Source organism: Homo sapiens, chromosome 4, assembly GCF_000001405.40.
Source record: "Homo sapiens chromosome 4, GRCh38.p14 Primary Assembly".
NCBI classification, from domain to species: Eukaryota; Metazoa; Chordata; class Mammalia; order Primates; family Hominidae; genus Homo; species Homo sapiens.
In genome coordinates, this window is record NC_000004.12 from 105,419,894 (window position 1) to 105,439,884 (window position 19,991).

At 35.7% G+C, this 19,991-nt stretch overlaps 1 protein-coding gene across 4 annotated transcripts in view; it reads right to left on the reverse strand.

Annotated features, from left to right (window-relative positions):
* Positions 1-19,991, reverse strand: part of PPA2 (inorganic pyrophosphatase 2) — a 104,994-nt gene that overhangs the window by 50,817 nt on the left and 34,186 nt on the right. For 2 of the 4 annotated variants that reach the window (NM_176866.2, NM_006903.4), the window contains one exon: positions 4,303-4,429. The exons of 1 other annotated variant lie outside the window; for it this stretch is intronic. In NM_176866.2, coding sequence (NP_789842.2) covers positions 4,303-4,429 — 127 coding nt within the window. Of the gene's footprint in view, positions 1-4,302; positions 4,430-18,056; positions 18,144-19,991 lie in introns of all 4 variants that reach the window. One more of the 4 variants, NM_176869.3, reaches the window with a different exon arrangement.

Sequence of the window (19,991 nt, forward strand, 5' to 3'; positions counted from 1 at the left end):
CTTCATTTTCAAAAAAGAAAAACTCTGACAAACCATGCCAAATAACAGCTTCTTTTTCTTTCTTTTTTTTTTTCGTTTGTTTGTTTTTTGTTTTTTGGGATGGAGTCTCGCTCTTGTTGCCTAGGCTGGAGTGCAATGGCGTGTTCTTGGCTCACCACAACCTCCGCCTCCTGGGTTCAAGTGATTCTCTTGCCTCAGCCTCCCATATAGCTGGGATTACAGGCATGTGCCACCACACCCAGCTAATTTTGTATTTTTAGAAGAGATGGGGTTTCTCTACGTGGGTCAGGCTGGTCTTGAACTTCTGACCTCAGGTGATCTGCCTGCCTTGGCCTCTTTTTCTAAAGATAGTAGAAACTAATAGGATGGATATAATTTTTATTATTTATTTATTTATAGAAACGAAGTCACACTACGTTGCTCAGGCTGGTCTCACCTCCTGCACTCAAGTGACCTTCCTGTCTCAGCTTCCCAAAGTGTTGGGTTACTGGTGCGAGCAACCATGCCGGCCAAGGATTTACTTTTTAAATGCCTAATAACAATAAAAACGTATAGGAAATTTAAAAAATCTCTATATACTCCTATATTACACACATACCCAGAAAACTACACAATTAAAAAGAAAATTCCTGATAGCTGCCCTCTCCTAAGTGTTTTTAAATTTCTCTCGTTTATCTGACTGACAAATATGCCAAGAAGTATAGATGACAAATGTTTAAACGGTCATAAAATATAAAATCACTTATTCCTTTGTAATAGAAATTTCAATTTATACACAGCAATTTATATTTAAAGTTACTGCATTAGATATTTTTGGAAAATGGACACCAGCCAACAATGAAAAGGGAAAACTAAAGAGGGAATGGTAGAATTTAAGTAAGTAGAACTAACCAAGCATTGAAAAGAAACCCGCAGGTGATAGCTATGCAGGAGGTTCAGAGAACAGTCTGTTCAAAGATGATCACTTAATAAATAGTATGATAAACTAAATGAATATTTACATAACAATACTGTAAATGCTACTTAGTTTTTAATTTTCAGATTCAACCATGAAGCAAAATAGGAAAAACAATTATACTTAACATAATTTAAACATTATAAATTTTGATACTGTAGAATTGATAGTGTAGCTGAGAGAAGTTAGGTTGTAAGGGACAGAAAAGGATAAAAATGTAGAAACCAAATGCTCTAAGTTCTACACTGGGCAGTTAAGAGTTATTGTTCAAAGTCAATGAAGCAATAAATCCAGCTCCAAATATACAACTTAGAGTTATTAGGGTAATAGTAGAAATATGGTAACACAGTTGATAAATGTTTAAGAATTTAAGTTCCTTGTCTTCCAAAGTAATAATTTGAGTCAACAGGGAAAATGCATAAATTAAGAAATATAAGCACATCATTTACAGAAGGAAGCAACCATTCAAAAGAACAAAAAACATCTGTGATAAGATCTGAGAAGATGAGGTGGGAGGTAGGAAGAAAAACTTTACTTTCATTTTATGTACTTTTTTTATACTTCTGAGTTTTTATTTCCATGTATAAAATTAATTTTATAATTTTTAAAATGCCATCTAAAATCCTGTGTTTGTGATTTTAGATGGTAAATATGAAAGACATAAATACCAAAACATTTTAAAAGTTGCTTGATTTAGGATTAAACACTGTTGACTAAAAATAATTTTTCAAAAATAAAAAACATTTATACTACAATCTCTTCTTCCTTTCAATTTGTGCCTACATCAATTTTTTTCCTCGGTCTCTGTAAAGTAAAGAAGAAAATTCAACAAAGGTATGCAGAATATATTAACGATAATGTGTAGGTAAAAGGAATGAGAAAAAAATGTGTGATTCTTAAAACTACCAAACTTGCTGGGCATGGTGGCTCAAACCTGTAATCCCAGTACTTTGGGAGGCTGAGGCGGGTAGATCCCTTTAGGCCAGGAGTCCAAGACCAGCCTGGTTAACACGGTGAAACCCCATCTCTTCTAAAATACAAAAAATTAGCCAGGTGTGGTGGCGCGCGCCTGTACTCCCAACTAGTCAGGAGGCTGAGGCACAAGAATCACTCAAACCTAGGAGGCGGTGGTTGCAGTGAGCTGAGATTGTGCCACTGCACTCCATCATGGAAGGCAGAGAGAGACTGCCTCAAAAAAAAACTACCAAACTTATTTTATAAAATCTAGATATAGGAGAAGAGTACTTTAAGTACTAACTAATGAGAACAATATACAAATATCCTTAAAATAAACAATTTTCATTTTCCCCATACACTTTACTCATTCTTTTAGGAGTTCAAAAACATATTATGAATAAGAATTGTTGTATTTTTCATGATGAAAATAATACATGTATTCACTTTTAATACAATGATAAATGTATTGGTGTTCTAAAACAATAACATCTTGTTTTAACTACTCAAGTTCAATAATTTCTTCTCAACCCAAATCAGCAACTGGCTTTAGTGTTTCTGCATATCTCTTCATAAAAGCAAATATGAAAGGAATTTAGAAAGGTGTCCAAAGTGCAAAGTCATCTCCATTCTGAGTACGCAACAGAAATAAAATGAATAGAGTTAAAACTTTTTATTCTAACACTTACGAAACTCAAGGAGTCATGCTAGGCTTATGTGATCTAGTTTCAATACCTCTAGTTACAAATATATAAATTACTAGAATCAAGGATGAATTGCTTGGTATAATATTATAGATGGGCTATATATTGCTCAATACAGTACTGAGCAATTCACACATTAGAATCAGACAGAAATGAGTTCAAACTGTGTACTATTTACATGTTTGCAAAGGTGGGCAAGTCACTTACATTCTCTGACCATCTTCTAAGTTAAGAACAATATCTACTATAACAGGCACCAGCGCTTGTTATATGCTAGAGAGTTTAAAATGTTAAATCACATCTCCAACAGTACTGAACTACTACTCTCTAAATAATATTTTCATTTTCATTCAGGTGCTCAGCTTTTTCAGTTTAAAGGGGCATCCCTTAGCACAGTTTCATGACTTTAGTGTAGCAGATCACAAATGAATTAGGTGGATGATTTGTTTCGGCTGCCTGTGGGACTATTACCTTATCAATTCTCATTTGAGGAGCAGTTAAGATGCTAAAAAATGTTTTTAACTAAATAAAATTTATTTACTGTTCTCATATATATGTATATGAAAAGTATAAAAATAGAAAAAATCAGGGTAAAATAATGAGATAAGGAATATATATGGTTTATAGACTTGAGCTCATATTTTAATTGTAGTTTTCACATTTTACTTTTGATCCTGAGGTTACATGCACTTCACGCTATCAGACCTCTCCCTTTCTCAGTTATATACAAGAATGACAAAAAAGAAATCTCTTCCTGTTTCAAGTGCAAAAAAAGGTACATAAACTAAGATTAATACATTGTTAATGAGGTTCAGTCATCTTAGAAATGGTAATATCTTCCAGTTTAGAATCGAGGTTTACAAGTAAAGAGGATCCTGAGCAAGAATAAAACAGGAAAGAAAAATAGAGGAAAAATTGGTCAAAGAATAATAATAGTTGTCATATATTCAACACTGGTATGTGAAAGCCAGATGCTTTAAATAAATCGTTTCTTATATTGCCAACAACTTTACAAGTAGGTATAATCATCTCCCTTTAGAGATGAGCAACTGAAATTCAGGAATGATCTACCCAAAGTCACTCAGCCAGGAAGTAGCACAGCCAGAACTTAAACTGAAGTCTGTCTGACTCCAAACAAAATTAAATCATGCCAAGCTATTTCCAGAACTTAAAATTTCTAGGACATCAAAATTTCGTTAGAGGGCAGTTACTTTTCCCTTCATTTGTACAAGAAGAGACAAAAACTAGGTGCAGAAATAGCTTTTGTCATCGATGAACACTCCTTCCTTAGTTTCTTCTTGTTAGTCATATGAACAAAAGAGATTTCAGGGTAAAAATGCCAGTATCGTATGCTTTTATTCCTAGTCAAAGGATGCTTTCAAAACAGTTCCCAACAGCAGTTGGACCATCAAAATCATGGAAGTAAGGAAAGAAGAAAGGAGGGAAGGAAGGAGTGAAAGGAAGAGGAAGAAAGTGAAAGAGAGGTGACAGGAGAGGGAAGAAAAAGGGAATAGAGGGAAACCAGTAGAATGTACTTTCTTCATTTAAAATATAATTTGTCTATCTACATCTTTTCCTCTCTCTTTTTTAAAAAGTACATTTAACTCCCCTATGTGAACTTCTTTTAAGTTCTCAGAATTCCAATGACACACTAATTTGCTTTCACTTTCTGGAAAGTAACAGTCTTACCATGAAACTTTGAGGCTTCAGGATCATTCGCATTGATAGCAATTAATTTCCAATCTGTTTCACCTTCATCAATAAGAGCCAAAATTCCAAGGATCTTCACATGAATAACTTCTCCACAAGAAAGAATCTTTAAAGAAAAAAGAAATTCACTATTTGCAAGGCTTTGGAGAGTTTACTCACATATCACAAAATCCATATAAAAGATTAAAAGAACTACAGACTGAAATGTAACAAAGCCTCAATAATTAAAAATAATATGAAAATAGCCAAAGTCTGCCTTGCAATGTCCCTTTAGAGTTAACTTTCTCAAAATTTCCACTTTCACCAATGACTGAATTATTTTACAGATAAACAACTTGCCCTCCCATTGCAAACAACTAAAAAACTGGACAAAATATATGAAATCACTCGTTTCAGACATTAAACAACAGGCAGTACAGGACTGTGATCCCAGAGAGAAGTAAACAAATGAGAAGAGATGTGATTGCCCTGGTTTTCTGCTCAATACACATTCCAAACCACAGCAGAGAGAAAGGAACCCAGTAAGAGGACAGGGATCTCACTGAGGTTAAAAAAAAATGGAGGATGAGGCAGCTGGAATTTGTAGGGCATGGTACTAGAAATAAGAAATAACTACAGCAATATACATAGGGGTTCCTTTGAGACACGGATTAAACACTAACCTGTGCATTCATGGGATGAGACTTTATAAGTCAAGGCAAAGAATAATGGCCAGAGACCTATAAAATGAGTTCCAACCACCCAGGAAAACCTCATTTACCACAAGGGGCATTCATTAGTGAGCCTATAATAGGCATGCATTAATGGTAGGACTAAACTGGCTCTCAAACAAAGGTTACTCTAGACCTGTCCTAACAAAGTTTTAAAAGTGCCTGGATACAACTAAACTGACTCACAAGTAACTACCTGTAAAAACAAATATTCTTTAAAGGAAGACAACAACATCCAGGCACTCGACATAACACAACATCCAAGATCCTGTCAATATGCAAGAAAATGTAAACCCTAAATGGGGAAAAAATTAAAAATCATTCAACAGAAACATTTCCAGAAATGTTAGATGATGGAATTAACAGATAGGAACCTCAAAACAACTACTGTAAATATGCTCAAAGATTTAAAGAAAAACATGACAATATGGAAGAGAGAAATAGAAAACAAAAAAAACCAAATAGAACTTTAAGAGCTAAGACATATATAATCTGAAAAGAAAAATTCTCTCAATGAGCTTAACAACAAAATAGACATTGCCAAAGAGAAAATTAGTGAACCTGAAGACACTGTAACAGAAACTTTCCAAAGTGAAGCACAGAAACAAAAAGGTTAAGAAAAAATTAACAATCCCAGTGTCCTCTGGGACAACATTCAGCATTCTATCTCATGTATAAATGGAATTCCAGAATGGGAAAGAGGAGGCCAAAAAATATTTGAATAAATAACGTCCAAAAAATTTCCAAATTTGATGAAAAGTATAAACCCCACAGATTGAGAAAGGACACATGCACATACACACACACACACACACACACACACACACACACACACACCCATCAGAATAAACAAACAAACAAAATCCAAAGTGAAGCACATCATAATCAAAGTGCTGAAAACCAGTGATAGTGACAGAGAGTAAATCTTAAAAGCAGATAGAGGGGAAAAAAAGATTACATAAGGGTACGATGATAAGAATGACAGCTGATTTCTCTTTAGAAGCAATGTAAGCCAAAAGACAAAGAAATGAAATCTTTAAAATTCTTAAAAACGCTACCAACCTAGAATGCCGGGAGTCATAAAGACTTTGCAAAGGGGAAAGGGGGAACTTTCTGGGATGATGGAAATGCTTCATATTTTAATTGAAGGAGGAGGTTATGTGTGTGTATACATATGTCAAAACTCACCATATACTTAAAATGAGTATATTCTATTGTAATATATGTTTTATATATATACATAATGACTTAAAGTTTATTTTAATAGTTAAAAAAATAGGAGGTTGCCTCCAAGATGGCCGAATAGGAACAGCTCCCGTCTACAGTTCCCAGTGAGATCGATGCAGAAGACAGGTGATTTCTGTATTTCAAACTGAGGTACCTGGTTCATCTCATTGGGACTGGTTGGACAGTGGGTGCAGCCCTCGGAGAGCAAGCCAAAGAAGGGCAGGATGTTGCCTCACCCAGGAAGCGCCAGGGGTCAGGGGATTTCCCTTTTCTAGCCAAGGGAAGCCATGAGTGACTGTACCTGGAGGAATGGTGCACACCTGCCCAAAATACCATGCTTTTCCCATGGTCTTCACAACTGACAGACCAGGAGATCCCCTCCCGTGCCTGGCTCGGCGGGTCCCATGCCCACAGAGCCTTGCTCACTGCTAGCGCAGCAGTCTGAGATCAACCTGGGATGTGGGAGCTTGGTAGGGGGAGAGGTGTCAGCCATTACTGAGACTTGAATAGGCAGTTCTATGCTTACAGTGTAAACAAAGCCGCAGGGAAGTGTGAACTGGGCGGAGCCCACCACAGCTCAGCAGGCCTACTCCCTCTCTAGATTCTACCTCTGGGGCAGAGCACATCTGAACAAAAGGGAGCAGACAGCTTCTCCAGACTTAAATGTCCCTGCCTGACAGCTCTGAAGAGAGCAGTAGTTCTTCCAGCATGGCATTTGAGCTCCGATAATAGACAAGACTGCCTCCTCAAGTGGGTCCCTGACTCCCATGTAGCCTGACTGCGAGACACCTCCCAGTAGAGGCCGACAGACACCTCATATAGATAGGTGCCCCCTCTGGGACGAAGTTTCAGGCAGCAATATTTGCTGTTCCGCAGCCTCTGCTGGTGATACCCAGGCAAACAGGGTCTGGAGTGGACCTCCAGCAAACTCCAACAGACCTGCAGCTGAGGGACCTGTCTGTTAGAAGGAAAACTAACAAACAGAAAGGAATAGCACCAACATCAACAAAAAGGACATCCATGCCAAAACCCCATCCATAGGTCACCAACATCAAAGACCAAAGGTAGATAAAACCACAAAATGGGGAGAAACCAGAGCAGAAAGGCTGAAAATTCCAAAAACCAGAATGCCTCTTCTCCTCAAAGGATTGCAGCTCCTCACCAGCAACAGAACAAAACTGCATGAAGAATGACTTTGATGAGTTGACAAAAGTAGGCTTCAGAAGGTCGATAATAACAAACTTCTCCGAGCTAGAGGAGCACGTTCTAACCCTTTGCAAGGAAGCTAAAAACTTTGAAAAAAAGTTAGACGAATGGCTAACTAGAATCAACAGTGTAGAGAAGAGCTTAAATGACCTGATGGAGCTGAAAACCACAGCACGAGAACTTCGTGAAGCATACAAAAGCTTCAACAGCCAATTCAATCAAGCACAAGACAGGATATCAGTGACTGAAGATCAAATTAATGAAATAAAGCGAGAAGACAAGATTAGAGAAAAAGAGTGAAAAGAAAGGAACAAAGCCTCCAAGAAATATAGGACTATGTGAAAAGACCAAAACTACGTTTGATTGGTGTACCTGAAAGTGATGGGGAGAATGGAACCAAGTGAGAAATCACTCTTTAGGAAATTATCCAGGAGAACTTCCCCAACCTAGCAAGGCAGGCCAACATTCAAATTCAGGAAATACAGAGAACGCCACAAAGATACTCCTCGAGAAGAGCAACCCCAACATACATAATTGTCAGATTCACCAAGGTTGAAATGAGGGAAAAAATGTTAAGGGCAGCCAGAGAGAAAGGTCAGGTTACCTACAAAGGGAAGCCCATCAGACTAACAGCAGATCTCTTGGCAGAAACCCTACAAGCCAGAAGAGAGTGGGTGCCAATATTCAACATTCTTAAAGAAAAGAATTTTCAACCCAGAATGTCATATCCAGGCAAACTAAGTTTCCTAAGTGAAGGAGAGATAAAATCCTTTATAGACAAGCAAATGCTGAGAGATTTTGTCACCACGACGCCTGCTTTACAAGAGCTCCTGAAGGAAGCAAGAAACGTGGAAAGGAACAACCGGTACCAACCACTGCAAAGACACGCCAAATTGTAAAGATGATCGATGCTATGAAGAAACTTCATCAATTAATGCGCAAAATAACCAGCTAGCATCCTAATGACAGGATCAAATTCATACATAACAATATTAATCTTAACTGTAAATGGGCTAAATGCCCCAATTAAAAGACACAGAGTGGCAAATTGGATAAAGAGTCAAGACCCATCAGTGTGCTGTATTCAGAAGACCCATCTCACGTGCAGAGACACAGATAGGCTTAAAATAAAGGGATAGAGGAAGATCTACCAAGCAAATGGAAAGCAAAAAAAAAAAAGCAGGGGTTTCAATCCTGGTCTCTGATAAAACAGACTTTAACCAGAACTCATGTTCTCCCTCATAAGTGGGAGTTGAACAGTGAGAACACATGGACACAGGGAGGGGAACATCATACACCGAGGCCTGTTGGGGGTGGGGGGCTAGGGGAGGGATAGCATTAGGAGAAATACCTAATGTAGGTGACTGGTTGATGAGTGCAGCAAACCACCATGGCACATATATACCTACGTAACAAAACTGCACGTTTTGCACATGTAACCCAGAACTTAAGTATAATAAAAAATAAATAAATAAACTGAAAAAAACTCAATTGAAATGGAAGAAACCATGAACAACAGGCAATTCACAGAAGAAATGAAAACAGCCTTTAGGGGTATAAAAAGATGTTCAAGCTCATTCATAATATAAATACCTTGTGGTTTAAATTAATATCCCTGCTTAGTGTTTGCAGAATTCTCACACAATAGGTAGTTGCCTGTCATCTTGACCTTCTCCTCCATATTTTGCTTTCTCTATTCTGGAGGGAATTTCTCTGGCTGCTCTAAATCTACAAAGGGGATCATTTTTCTTCTTCCATCTAGAGGAATCAGAAGTTGAAGCAAAACCTTTAATTTCATTCTACTGCCAAAACAAGCCCCAAAATTATGGACATAAGAGAGCATAGGCAAGTTTGGCTAGAAGTGCATTATTTTATTACCAAGAAAATTTGCAGATAAATGAGAATCAAAGATGACCAAGAGGCAGAATACAAGAAACGAGTAGATGAGAGTAACTAACAAAGATGGCGTATCTTACAGTGGCAACACTACTCCTGTCACTGGCAGCTATCATCAATGAGTCTGAGATTTTCAGCACGAATATAACTTATTCCCTTATGCCTACCTGCAAAGTTTCATATAATGGTCAATATTCCAAAATTAAAAAGTTAAGAAAAAAGTCATTTTAAGGTCTAAGGACAATTTTTTAATTAACAAATCAAAATCTCATCACATTATGTAAGTAAAAGCAATCCATATATTTAAAAAATTAGGCACCAAGAAAGTGGACCTGTTTACAGTTTCAACCTATTGCAATTTGTGCTGAAACTGAAGTTATTTACATATCTTGAAATTTAAGGTATCTACTAGGCCTAGACACTCACACTAAATAGAAAATAAACCTGTATGTACCATTACATAATATAAACTTGATTCCTGCTGCTTGAGGGGAAAAGAGACCTGAGAATCCTTTTACATTGCTTCATAGTACCTTTTTAACAAACCACATTTATCGGTTACTAGTGAAAAGTAAAACATAATAGAGTAAAGCCTTAAGAAAATAATAAATGATATTGACAAAACAGGTTTCATAAAATATTTCAAAAATATTTTAAGAGAAACCCAGAAATAGCGTGACTTAAGCAGATGTTCCATGTGCTTAAGAAAGTTATTTCAGTGAGGTTCCCTCAAGCTGCCAACGTCAAGTTTATATGCATGCATTCTTTGTATATATCCTTTTACTTTTAAAGGTTTAGTTGGCTATAGATTTTCACTGTAAACCTGGAATTTGAACACATGCTTCAGAATAAATTTCTCAGAATTCAAAATGCAGTTTTACATTTAGAAAACAAGGTATGTAGAAAAAAGTCACTTCTGTGTCCTGAAATTATTTATTTTGAGGGAAAAAATACTAGAATTTCAAGTCATAAAGTCAAATAAATCCTGTCAGAATATTTGGAAGTTGATTCTAAAATCTTAACATAAATCTGCATGGAATTGTAATTAGTTAACACAACTGACTAAAGTGATTGTATAAACTAAACTGAAATCTGAATTCCAAGGGAATATACACAATTATATTAGACACTCACATGTTTAGCCTCTATTAAGTACTCGGCTCTATATTAGGCACTGTGTATTAAAGAAAGAATGAATTGTTCTCAAGGATTTACAATCTTATTTGGGTGACTTAGACACCCCAGGGCCGAACAGCATATAAGACCGAACACATGTGAGTTTAAACATGTAATATCAACACTACGTGCATCATTTCTCATAGCTGTGCCTTCTTCATTTCCAATGCCACTGCCCTGATCTAGGCAACAGAGTGTCAAGGTAGGTTCTCTAATATGATAAAAGGACAAGATAGAGGCTAACAAATCAGAAGACTATAACACTATAGATATGAGGTAATTTGGATCTAGATTAGGGACATGACAGTGGATAGTCTAGATAAGGGTAGTGAAATATTTATAAGGAAAAACAAATAGTGTACAAGGAGAAAAGAAAATGATTTACCAAACAGACACTGTGTGATGGGCACTACAGTATGTCTTCTATGGGTATCATTTTATTCTTCACTTACAAAAACTAGTGTACAGTGTAGATATTATCCCTGTCTTGGAAACAAAGATACTGGGATTCACAACGGTTAAATAATTTTTGCCTGAGATCACAGAACTAGTGAATGGAAGACCTGGGATTCATACCCCAAACTGAGCCAAAGCTTCTTCTCCTGCCAAACTGTACTAAGAAAGCAGATCAGTCCTTGCCTGAGGACAGAGGGTTGGGAGTGTCAAAGGAAGAGATTACAAAGAAGTGTAAGAAAACATTTGGGGGTGATAAATATGTTCATTTTCTTATTTTTGATAATAATTTTGCATGTAATTATATCAAAAATCATCAATTTGTGTACACTTTAAATAGGTACAGTTTATTATATGTCAATTATAACTCAACAAAGCTAGAAAAAAATCTACTTCACATTTATGGCTAAAACTATTTTTTTAAATGCATTATTTTATTGGATAAAATAATTATCCACATTTGTTTAAGATAAAATCAGACGTAAGCTTGTTTTAATTAAAAAAATCACAATACCATTTCACAACCACTAGGATGATTGTTAAAAAACAAAAAGGGAAAATAATGAGTATTGGTGAGGATCTGGAGAAACTGGAATCCTTGAATATTGTTCGTTGGAGTTAACATGCTGGGGAAAACAGTTTGGTGGTTCCTCAAAGAGTAAATTCAGAATTACCATATGACCCAGCAATTCCATTCCTAGGTGAAAAAAATGGATAAGAGTATTCAAACAAAAACTCATACATGAATGTTCATAGCAGCACTATTCATAATAGCCAAGTGGTAGAAACAAGCCAAATGCCCATCAACTAATGAATGGATAAGTAAAAGGTAATATTATCCATCAGCAGAATATTATTCAGCCATAAAAAGGAATGAAGTACTGATACATGCTACAACATGGATGAATCTCAAAAGCACACTAAGTGAAAGGGGCCAGACACAAAAGGTTACATATCATGTGAGACCATTTACATGAAATATCCAGAATAGGTAAACCTATAGTATAGAGACAGTAAATTAGTGGTTGCCAGGGGCCAGTTAGAGAATGAAATGGGGAGTGACTGCTAATGGGGATGGGGTTTCCTTTTGAGGTCATGAAATGTTTGGGACTAGATAGATACAGGTGATGGTTGTACAACACTGTGAATGTATTAACTGCCACTAATTTTAATGTACACTTTAAAATGGTTAATTTTATGTGAATTGTACCTCAATTTAAAAAATTAATCACAAATTATTTTTGATGATGGTGGAGGTTGTTATATACATGTCAAAATGAACCATAATAAAACAGCTCCTATCCCTTAAGTCCTCTCTCCTGAAACTATGTTATCATTAAGTGAATGGTTCGCTTCTTTCCAATACCTACCTTCAAGTTTATTCTATAATGAACAAAATACTTACGTTTTTGTGTTTAACTACAAAATTGATCAGATAATTTCTTAAAAACGTCAATCAAAAAAATACAAACATTTATCAAATTAAAGCAAAAGAACAAACTTTATGCAGAAAAACTTGTTGCAATGCAGCTGATTTAAATCAAGACTTTAATCAAACATATCTTAATAAAGTAAATCTCAAAAATTAGAATTCTGTCATTTTGAATAATAAAAGTTGAAATCATATGGCTATAACCTGCAAATTCTAAAGAATATAAATAGGATGGATATAAATATGTGGATCAATTCTCACAAGTATTAGCAGTAGAGGCAGAAGGGGATAGGGCAAGCTTGTCCAACCCACGCGGCCTACGGGCAGCATGCAGCCCAGGATGGCTTTCAATGTGGCCCAACACAGATTCATAAACTTTCGTAAAATATTATGAGATTTTATTTATTTATTTTTTAGCTCATCAGTTATTGTTAGTGTTAGTGTATTTTATGTGTGGCCCAAGACAATTATTTTTCCAATGTGGCCCAGGGAAGCCAAAAGATTGGACACCCCTGGTGTAAAGACTAGGAACACAGGCTCCAGTACAAGATACCTGGGATTCAATCCCAATTCTGCCAACTTACTAGCAATGTAAGTTTGGGGAAATTACTTAACTTCCTTGGAATATAATTTTATGTAAAATTTGAAAATAAAAATACCTGTTTCACAGCATAGCAGTTTTAAGAATAAATGAGATAATTCTTATAGAGCACCTCAAATAATGGTTTATAGACTAGTACTTTACTATAAGCATCAGTATTAAGGTTTGGGTTCCTAAAGGAAATCATTCATTTTTCCCCTTACCATTCTCAGTAAACAAAAAGGCTAGGAGAAGTTTTTTTTGAAAAGTATACACCTCATGAAGAATATCCTAAAGGATCAAAGACAAGGAATCAGATTTTCTGAGGGACACTTTATATGTTATTTCCTACAGTGATCTAATTCTATAAAAGGGCATGTAACCATTGTTTACAGCATTCTTAAAAAAACACCAAACCTCTGATTTCTTAACCTGCTTTTCTATTTCTTAATAGAAAGAGAAGTTTCATCTTCCTTAGTCTCCAAATTACAGGTAAACAACTAAGCTGCTTCCACTCCAAAATTAGACTCCCATTTGAAAAATTACAGAAACGATGGCTCTGGAGATGGAAAATGGGAGATGAGCAGATTTATATGGGCTCCTCTGAACTGATATTGGTGCCAACTCACAGAAGCCACTGTGTGTTTAGCTCAGCTGCTCTTTGTGCATGCCTCCAGGGGTTAATAGCTAAAGCTACATCTGTGAAGGAAATATAATGACAACACTGTCCACGGGAAGAGACATTATAAACAAAGAATTTCCCTCTACAGTTGAGGTCTCAATTGTCTGAAATACTGTCTGTTCCTTTCCCATTCCCTGCCCTCCGGCATGCTTCTTACCAGCTGCAATCACAAAGTATTTCTGATACATGTCCTCAAGTTTGGACTCTGGTTGCTTAAATTCTAGATTCTCAAGCCCAAAAGGAACATATGACAAGTGATTATAAAGATATGGATGATATTTGCAGCTCTGAATATACATCAAAACTAAAGTACTCCATAGAAAAATTTTACAACTGCATATGTAATTGCTAACTTATACAGGCTGGATCATATTTAGAGAAGGGCGTTTAGCTGTGGTAGTATGGTATTCTATTTATTTATTATTATTTTTTTGAGACTCAGTCTTACCATGTTGCCCAGGCTGGTCTTGAACTCTTGGGTTCAGGAGATCCTCTTAGCTCGCCTCCCAAAGTGCTGGGATTACAGGCATGAGCCACTGCACCCAGACTGCTCCATTCTAACATGGGCATTAACAGAGATGATCTAGTGAAAAGGAACCAGAGTGGAAAATAATCTAGAAACTGTCAGATAAGGAACAACTAGAATAAAAAGCCTTGAGAACAGAAGTCTTCAGGAGGGTATGGCACATTGGACCAAAAGATGTGTAAGATCCTTTATAAAACAAAAATGTTCAAATTTGAAGTTATCACATAATTGCCAGTTTAAAGTTGGCTATACTGGTTAATTCACACTGGATACACTAAATGAGAGTTTCTCAACCAAAGGCAATTTTGCCCTCTAGGGGATATTTGGCAATATCCTAAGACATTTTGGGTTGCCACAACTGGGGAGGAGGTATTACTAGCATCTAGTAGGAAAAGGCAAAGGATGCTGCAGAAGACAGTCCTCTCTCATAAAGAATTATCCATCTGTAATATCAATAGTGTCAAAGTTAAGAAATCCTGTAGATGACTCTGGCAGCAGGGTATAAGAATTCCTGGAAATCACATATAGCTTTTAAAAAGCACATTCTAAATTGTTTTATCTATTTTTATTCACAAAATTTATTTTAAAATTTCAAACAACATAAGAACAGATAAGACATGTATAGGTTATAAAGCAAGCAAGGAAGCATGCCCAGATTACCAAGTTGCCTCAGAATGAGACACACTCTTTGACTTCACATGCAACAGAAAGGCACAGTTTTATTTCAAACAAAGCAGTGTTTTGCTGTAACACCGTTAAAAACTGGAAAGGAAAACTCAATCAAACCAAAAACTAGATGCTTAGGAATAAATGGTAGAATTCTTACAAAACCACCACGCTTCAATTCAATCTAAATCAATTCAACAAATCTGTGCTGAAAGTATAACATTTAGTTTTCTTAGACACCAAATGAACAATACAAAATCCCTCAAGGGACTTAGAACATTCAAGTTTTCTATATCTGTGGTTCTAAGTCTGTTACCAACTTCCAGGACTCTGCTTCTTTCCCTCTGCCCATTAACAATGCGGTGTTAAAAGTGACTTCCTACCACTATGTTTCTTACAGCTGATTCAACCACTCATCTCATAGCCAGGCATGAAAGAAAGGAGCATACCCCTAACCGAGAACTATTTTTTAGATGGTAGTCATATATTTATTTCATATTTAGTAAGTATTATTTCAGGTCTTATTAATTAAAGGAATAAACTTCTCTGGCTATAAGATGCAAGGATGATATGTGAATTCATGAATTGTTCCATGTTTTTCACCCAGATACAAGAAATTCAGAGAACACTTGAGAGATGCTATGCAAGATGAATATCACCAAGGCACACAGTCATCAAGGTCTATCCTAAATATACATGCACGCAACATCAGAGCACCCGGATTCATAAAAAAACTACTACTAAACCTAAGAACCTGAGAAATACACTAGTGGGAGGCTTCAACACTCCACTGGTGTTCTTGTGTCCTTTAAAAGCACATTAAAAAGATAATTCATCATGATCAAGTAGGGTTTATTCCAGGAATGCAAGGATGGTTGAACATATGCAAATCAATAAATGGGATTCACCACATAAAGAAAACTAAGAATAAAAACCACATGATCATCTCAATAGATACAGAAAAAGCACGTGATAAAATTCAACATTCCTTCATGATAAAAACCTTCAACGAACTAGGCACTGAAGGAACATACCTCAAAATAGTAAGAGCCATCTATGACAAACCCATAACCAACATCATACCAAATGTGAAAAAGTTGAAAGCATTCCCCCTAAGAACCAGAATAAGACAAGGATGTCCAGTCTCACCACTCCCATTCAACATAGTACTGGAAGTCCTAGCCAGACCAATCACCCAAGAGAAGGAAATAAAAGGTATCTAAATTGGAAAAGAGGAAGTCAAATGATCTCTGTTCACTAATGACATGATAGTGTAGCTAGGAAACCCTAAAGGCTCCTCCAAAAGACTCCTAGACTTGTTAAACAACTTCGATAAAGTTTAAGGATACAAAATCTATATATAAAAATTAATAGTATTTCTACATACCAATAATGTTCAAGTTGAGAACAAAATTAAAAAATCTCATTTGCAACAGCCACACACACACACGCATCATACACACACACACACACCCCGCAGGAATACATTTAATCAAGTGGGTAAAACATCTCTGCAAGAACTACAAAACACTGATGAAAGGAATCATAGATGACACAGAGGGAAAAACATCCCATGCTCATGGATTGGAAGAATCAATATTGTTAAAATGCCAATATTGCTCAAAGCAATCTGGAGATTCAGTGTAATTCCTATCAAATTACCAATGTCATTTTTTCACAGCATTAGGAAAAAACAATCCTAATGTTTATATGGAACCAAACAAAAGCCAGAATAGTCAAAGCAATCCTAAGCAAAAAGAACAAATCTGGAGGCATCACATTACTCAGCAACAAATTATACCACATAGCTGTAGTACTGGTATAAAAATAAACATGGTACTGGTACAAAAATAAACACATAGATCAATGGAACAAAACACAGAACAAACAAATGAAGTCACATACCTATAACCAACTGATCTTCAACAAATAACAAAAAAATAATGGGGAAAGGAGACTCTATTCAATAAATGGTACTGGGAAAACTGGCTAGCCATAGGCTGAAGAATGAAACTGGACCCCTATCTCTCACCACATACAAAAATTAACTCAAGATGGATTAAAGACCTAAATGTTAAGATCTGAAACTATAAAAATTCCTGAAGAAAATCTAGGAAAAACTCTCTGGATATCGCCTAGGCAAAGAATTTATGATGAAGACCCCAAAAGCAAATGGAATGAAAACAAAAATAGACAAATTTAACTTAATTAAACTAAAAACCTTCTGCATAGCAAAAGAAATAATCAACAAAATAAACAGCCTACAGAATGGGAGAAAAAATCTGCAAAGTATGCCTCCAACAAAGGACTAAGACAACTCAAACAACTCAACAAGAAAAACATTAAAAAGTGCGCAAAGGCCACGAACCAACATTTCTCAAAAAAAGAAATATAAGTGGCCAAGAAACACATGAAAAATGCTCTACATCACTAATCATCAGAGAAATACAAATTTAAACCACATTGAAAGTTTTTATGTGCTGGTTTCTGAGCTCTACAAAATTAAAGGTAAGATGTTCTTCTAGGAGTGAGAAAAAAGGGAGAAGAGTTGAATGTCTGCAGAGAACAAGAAATAGTAACAATAAACGTAGTAGAAAATAGAAGAAAGAACTGACCAAAGACATATAGAAGAATTGATGGGGAGCATCAATCTCTGAAATTGTGGATTTTGTTTTTATTCAGTAGGATGTGGCAACCTGGAAGCAGGCACACAAAAAATGAAAAAGTATCAGATGACTTTCATGAGAATTGAAGTTTTTATCTAAATAATAGGCAAGGAAGGTGAAGACAGGACTTGGCAAATTTTTCCATAAAGGGTCAGATGGTAGACATAAAATAATAAAATAATAATAAAAGGCTTTGTAGACTATACAATCTCTGCTACAAGTCCTCAACTCTACCGTCGTAGTGTAAAAGCAGTCATAGACAGTATGTACATGAATGGGCATACCTGCGTTATTTATAAAAACAGGTGTTAGGCTGGCTTTGACTTGTTACAGGGCTATAATTTACCAACCCCTGGTTTAAGACAAGAAAGTGAAGATAAAAGGAGGGACTGATAACAGAGAAATCAATAGGCTTGAACTCTGAAGAGTTGAAGAACTAGAGGCTAAAATGAAATTTTATGGCATGAATAAACCAAAACTCACGTTAGAATTAATACAGTCTATAAAACAAACCTTTGAGCCTATTTCGCAAACATCAATAGGATCATTATCTCCAAAGCAGTTCGTGCTCTTATCTTTTTCATGGGGATCTTCCCAAGTCTAAAATTTTTTTTTTAAAAAAAAGCAGAAATGTAAGTTAATACTATAATGTACTTTAATCTTTCCACATAATCACAAAGTTTTATAGATAACAATAATCCAAAGAAAACATTATCAGAAATTACATAGGCCCAAGGCCAACAGGCCAGTATGTCCCTAAGGATCATAATATTTAAAACAGATTTATAGTATTTCCTCCATCTCTCAGTTGCTGGTATAATTGCATCTGCAAGTGGGTGGTATATGCAGACATACTCATCTTCCAAGTTCAGTCAGGGAATAAATTCACATTCACTTTTAGAGTTTCAGTGGATGTTCCCACTGTCTGTGCCCTTGTTTCTGTGTTTCCGCTGACTGCCTCAACTGTGGCTTCCGTCATTCACCGCTTCCTTTGACCCGGTAACAGCACATGGATCTAAATTACTAAAAGGAATCCAGTTTTCCCTTTATAAATGAAAGGACAAAACACTACTAAAGAAAATAAAAACCTATTTTGTCTTATTCATTCCATTAAAAAATCCTCTACCTGTCAAATCTCAAGGACCTTGATAAAAACATGAAAAGACATCAATTCTTTAGTTTACTGGCAAGATTATACCCTGTTGGTTACAAAATATACACATAGGAATTTTTATAAATGAAGACTGTAATAGAAATTTGCTAGTAAGATTAAAGATCCCTTAGGCACTATCTCTCCCAAAAAGCCTCAGAATTGCCTGATTCTAAATGGAACTGTAGAAGTTCCCTAAAATTATTTGCTTTAAATTCAAACTAAAAGGGATACAGAGACCGTCATCCCAAGAATCAGATTATCATTATTATCTAAGATTTCAGGTTATCTAAGCTTATTTCCTTTAATTTTATATAGATAATTACAAACAAACTTATTTACAGCTAAGCATTAGAGAAATTCCAATATTTTCCTTCTAGTACTAATTAGTTTATTCAGAAATAACCTGGCCTAACTTTATCTTAAAAAAAAAAATCAATAAATGAAGTCCAACAACATTTCACTGCCCCAAATACTAATACTACTAAGAAAATATAAGAATAACCACAATTGTTAATCTTACATACTGGTCATAGGTGACAAACACTTTCTAGCTAATATATACACACACAACATACACATATATACATACATACCACATGAATAATATACCATAACGAATTCCATTTTATAGATAAGTAAATTGAAACACAGAGTTTAAACTTGCACAAACTCATGGTTTCTATATGGTAAAGATTGTATTAGAACTCATGCTACTAATCATTTTTTATGTGCAAATTATGATAACAATTGAATGGCATTTATTTTCAAATATAACCCCATCTACTTCACGGTTCTCTTCTTTCAAATACCTTCTCTTACTCTGAGCAATCTCCTAAGTAACTTTCCTAGAGAGGTTCTGTTCTTTCCCAGTCTTCCCGTTACTGCTTCTTTTTTTCTATTAACAGGCATTCATTCATACAGTAAAACATTTATTGAGTACCTACTTTGGGCCAGTAACAGAGATTTATAGGAAACAGTCAATACCATGGAGAGTGTCATGTTAATAAATGGTATGGCATTTGTGACAAATGCAATAAAGGTAATAAGAATTATTATTATTATAATAAATGGCATGGCATTTGTGACAAATGCAATAAAGGTAATTATTATGATACTTTTAAGTTTTAGGGTACATGTGCATAACGTGCAGGTTTGTTACATATGTATACATGTGTCATGTTGCTGTGCTGCACCCATTAACTCGTCATTTAGCATTAGGTATATCTCCTAATGCTATCCCTCCCCCCTCCCCCCACCCGACAACAGTCCCCAGTGTGTGATGCTCCCCTTCCTGT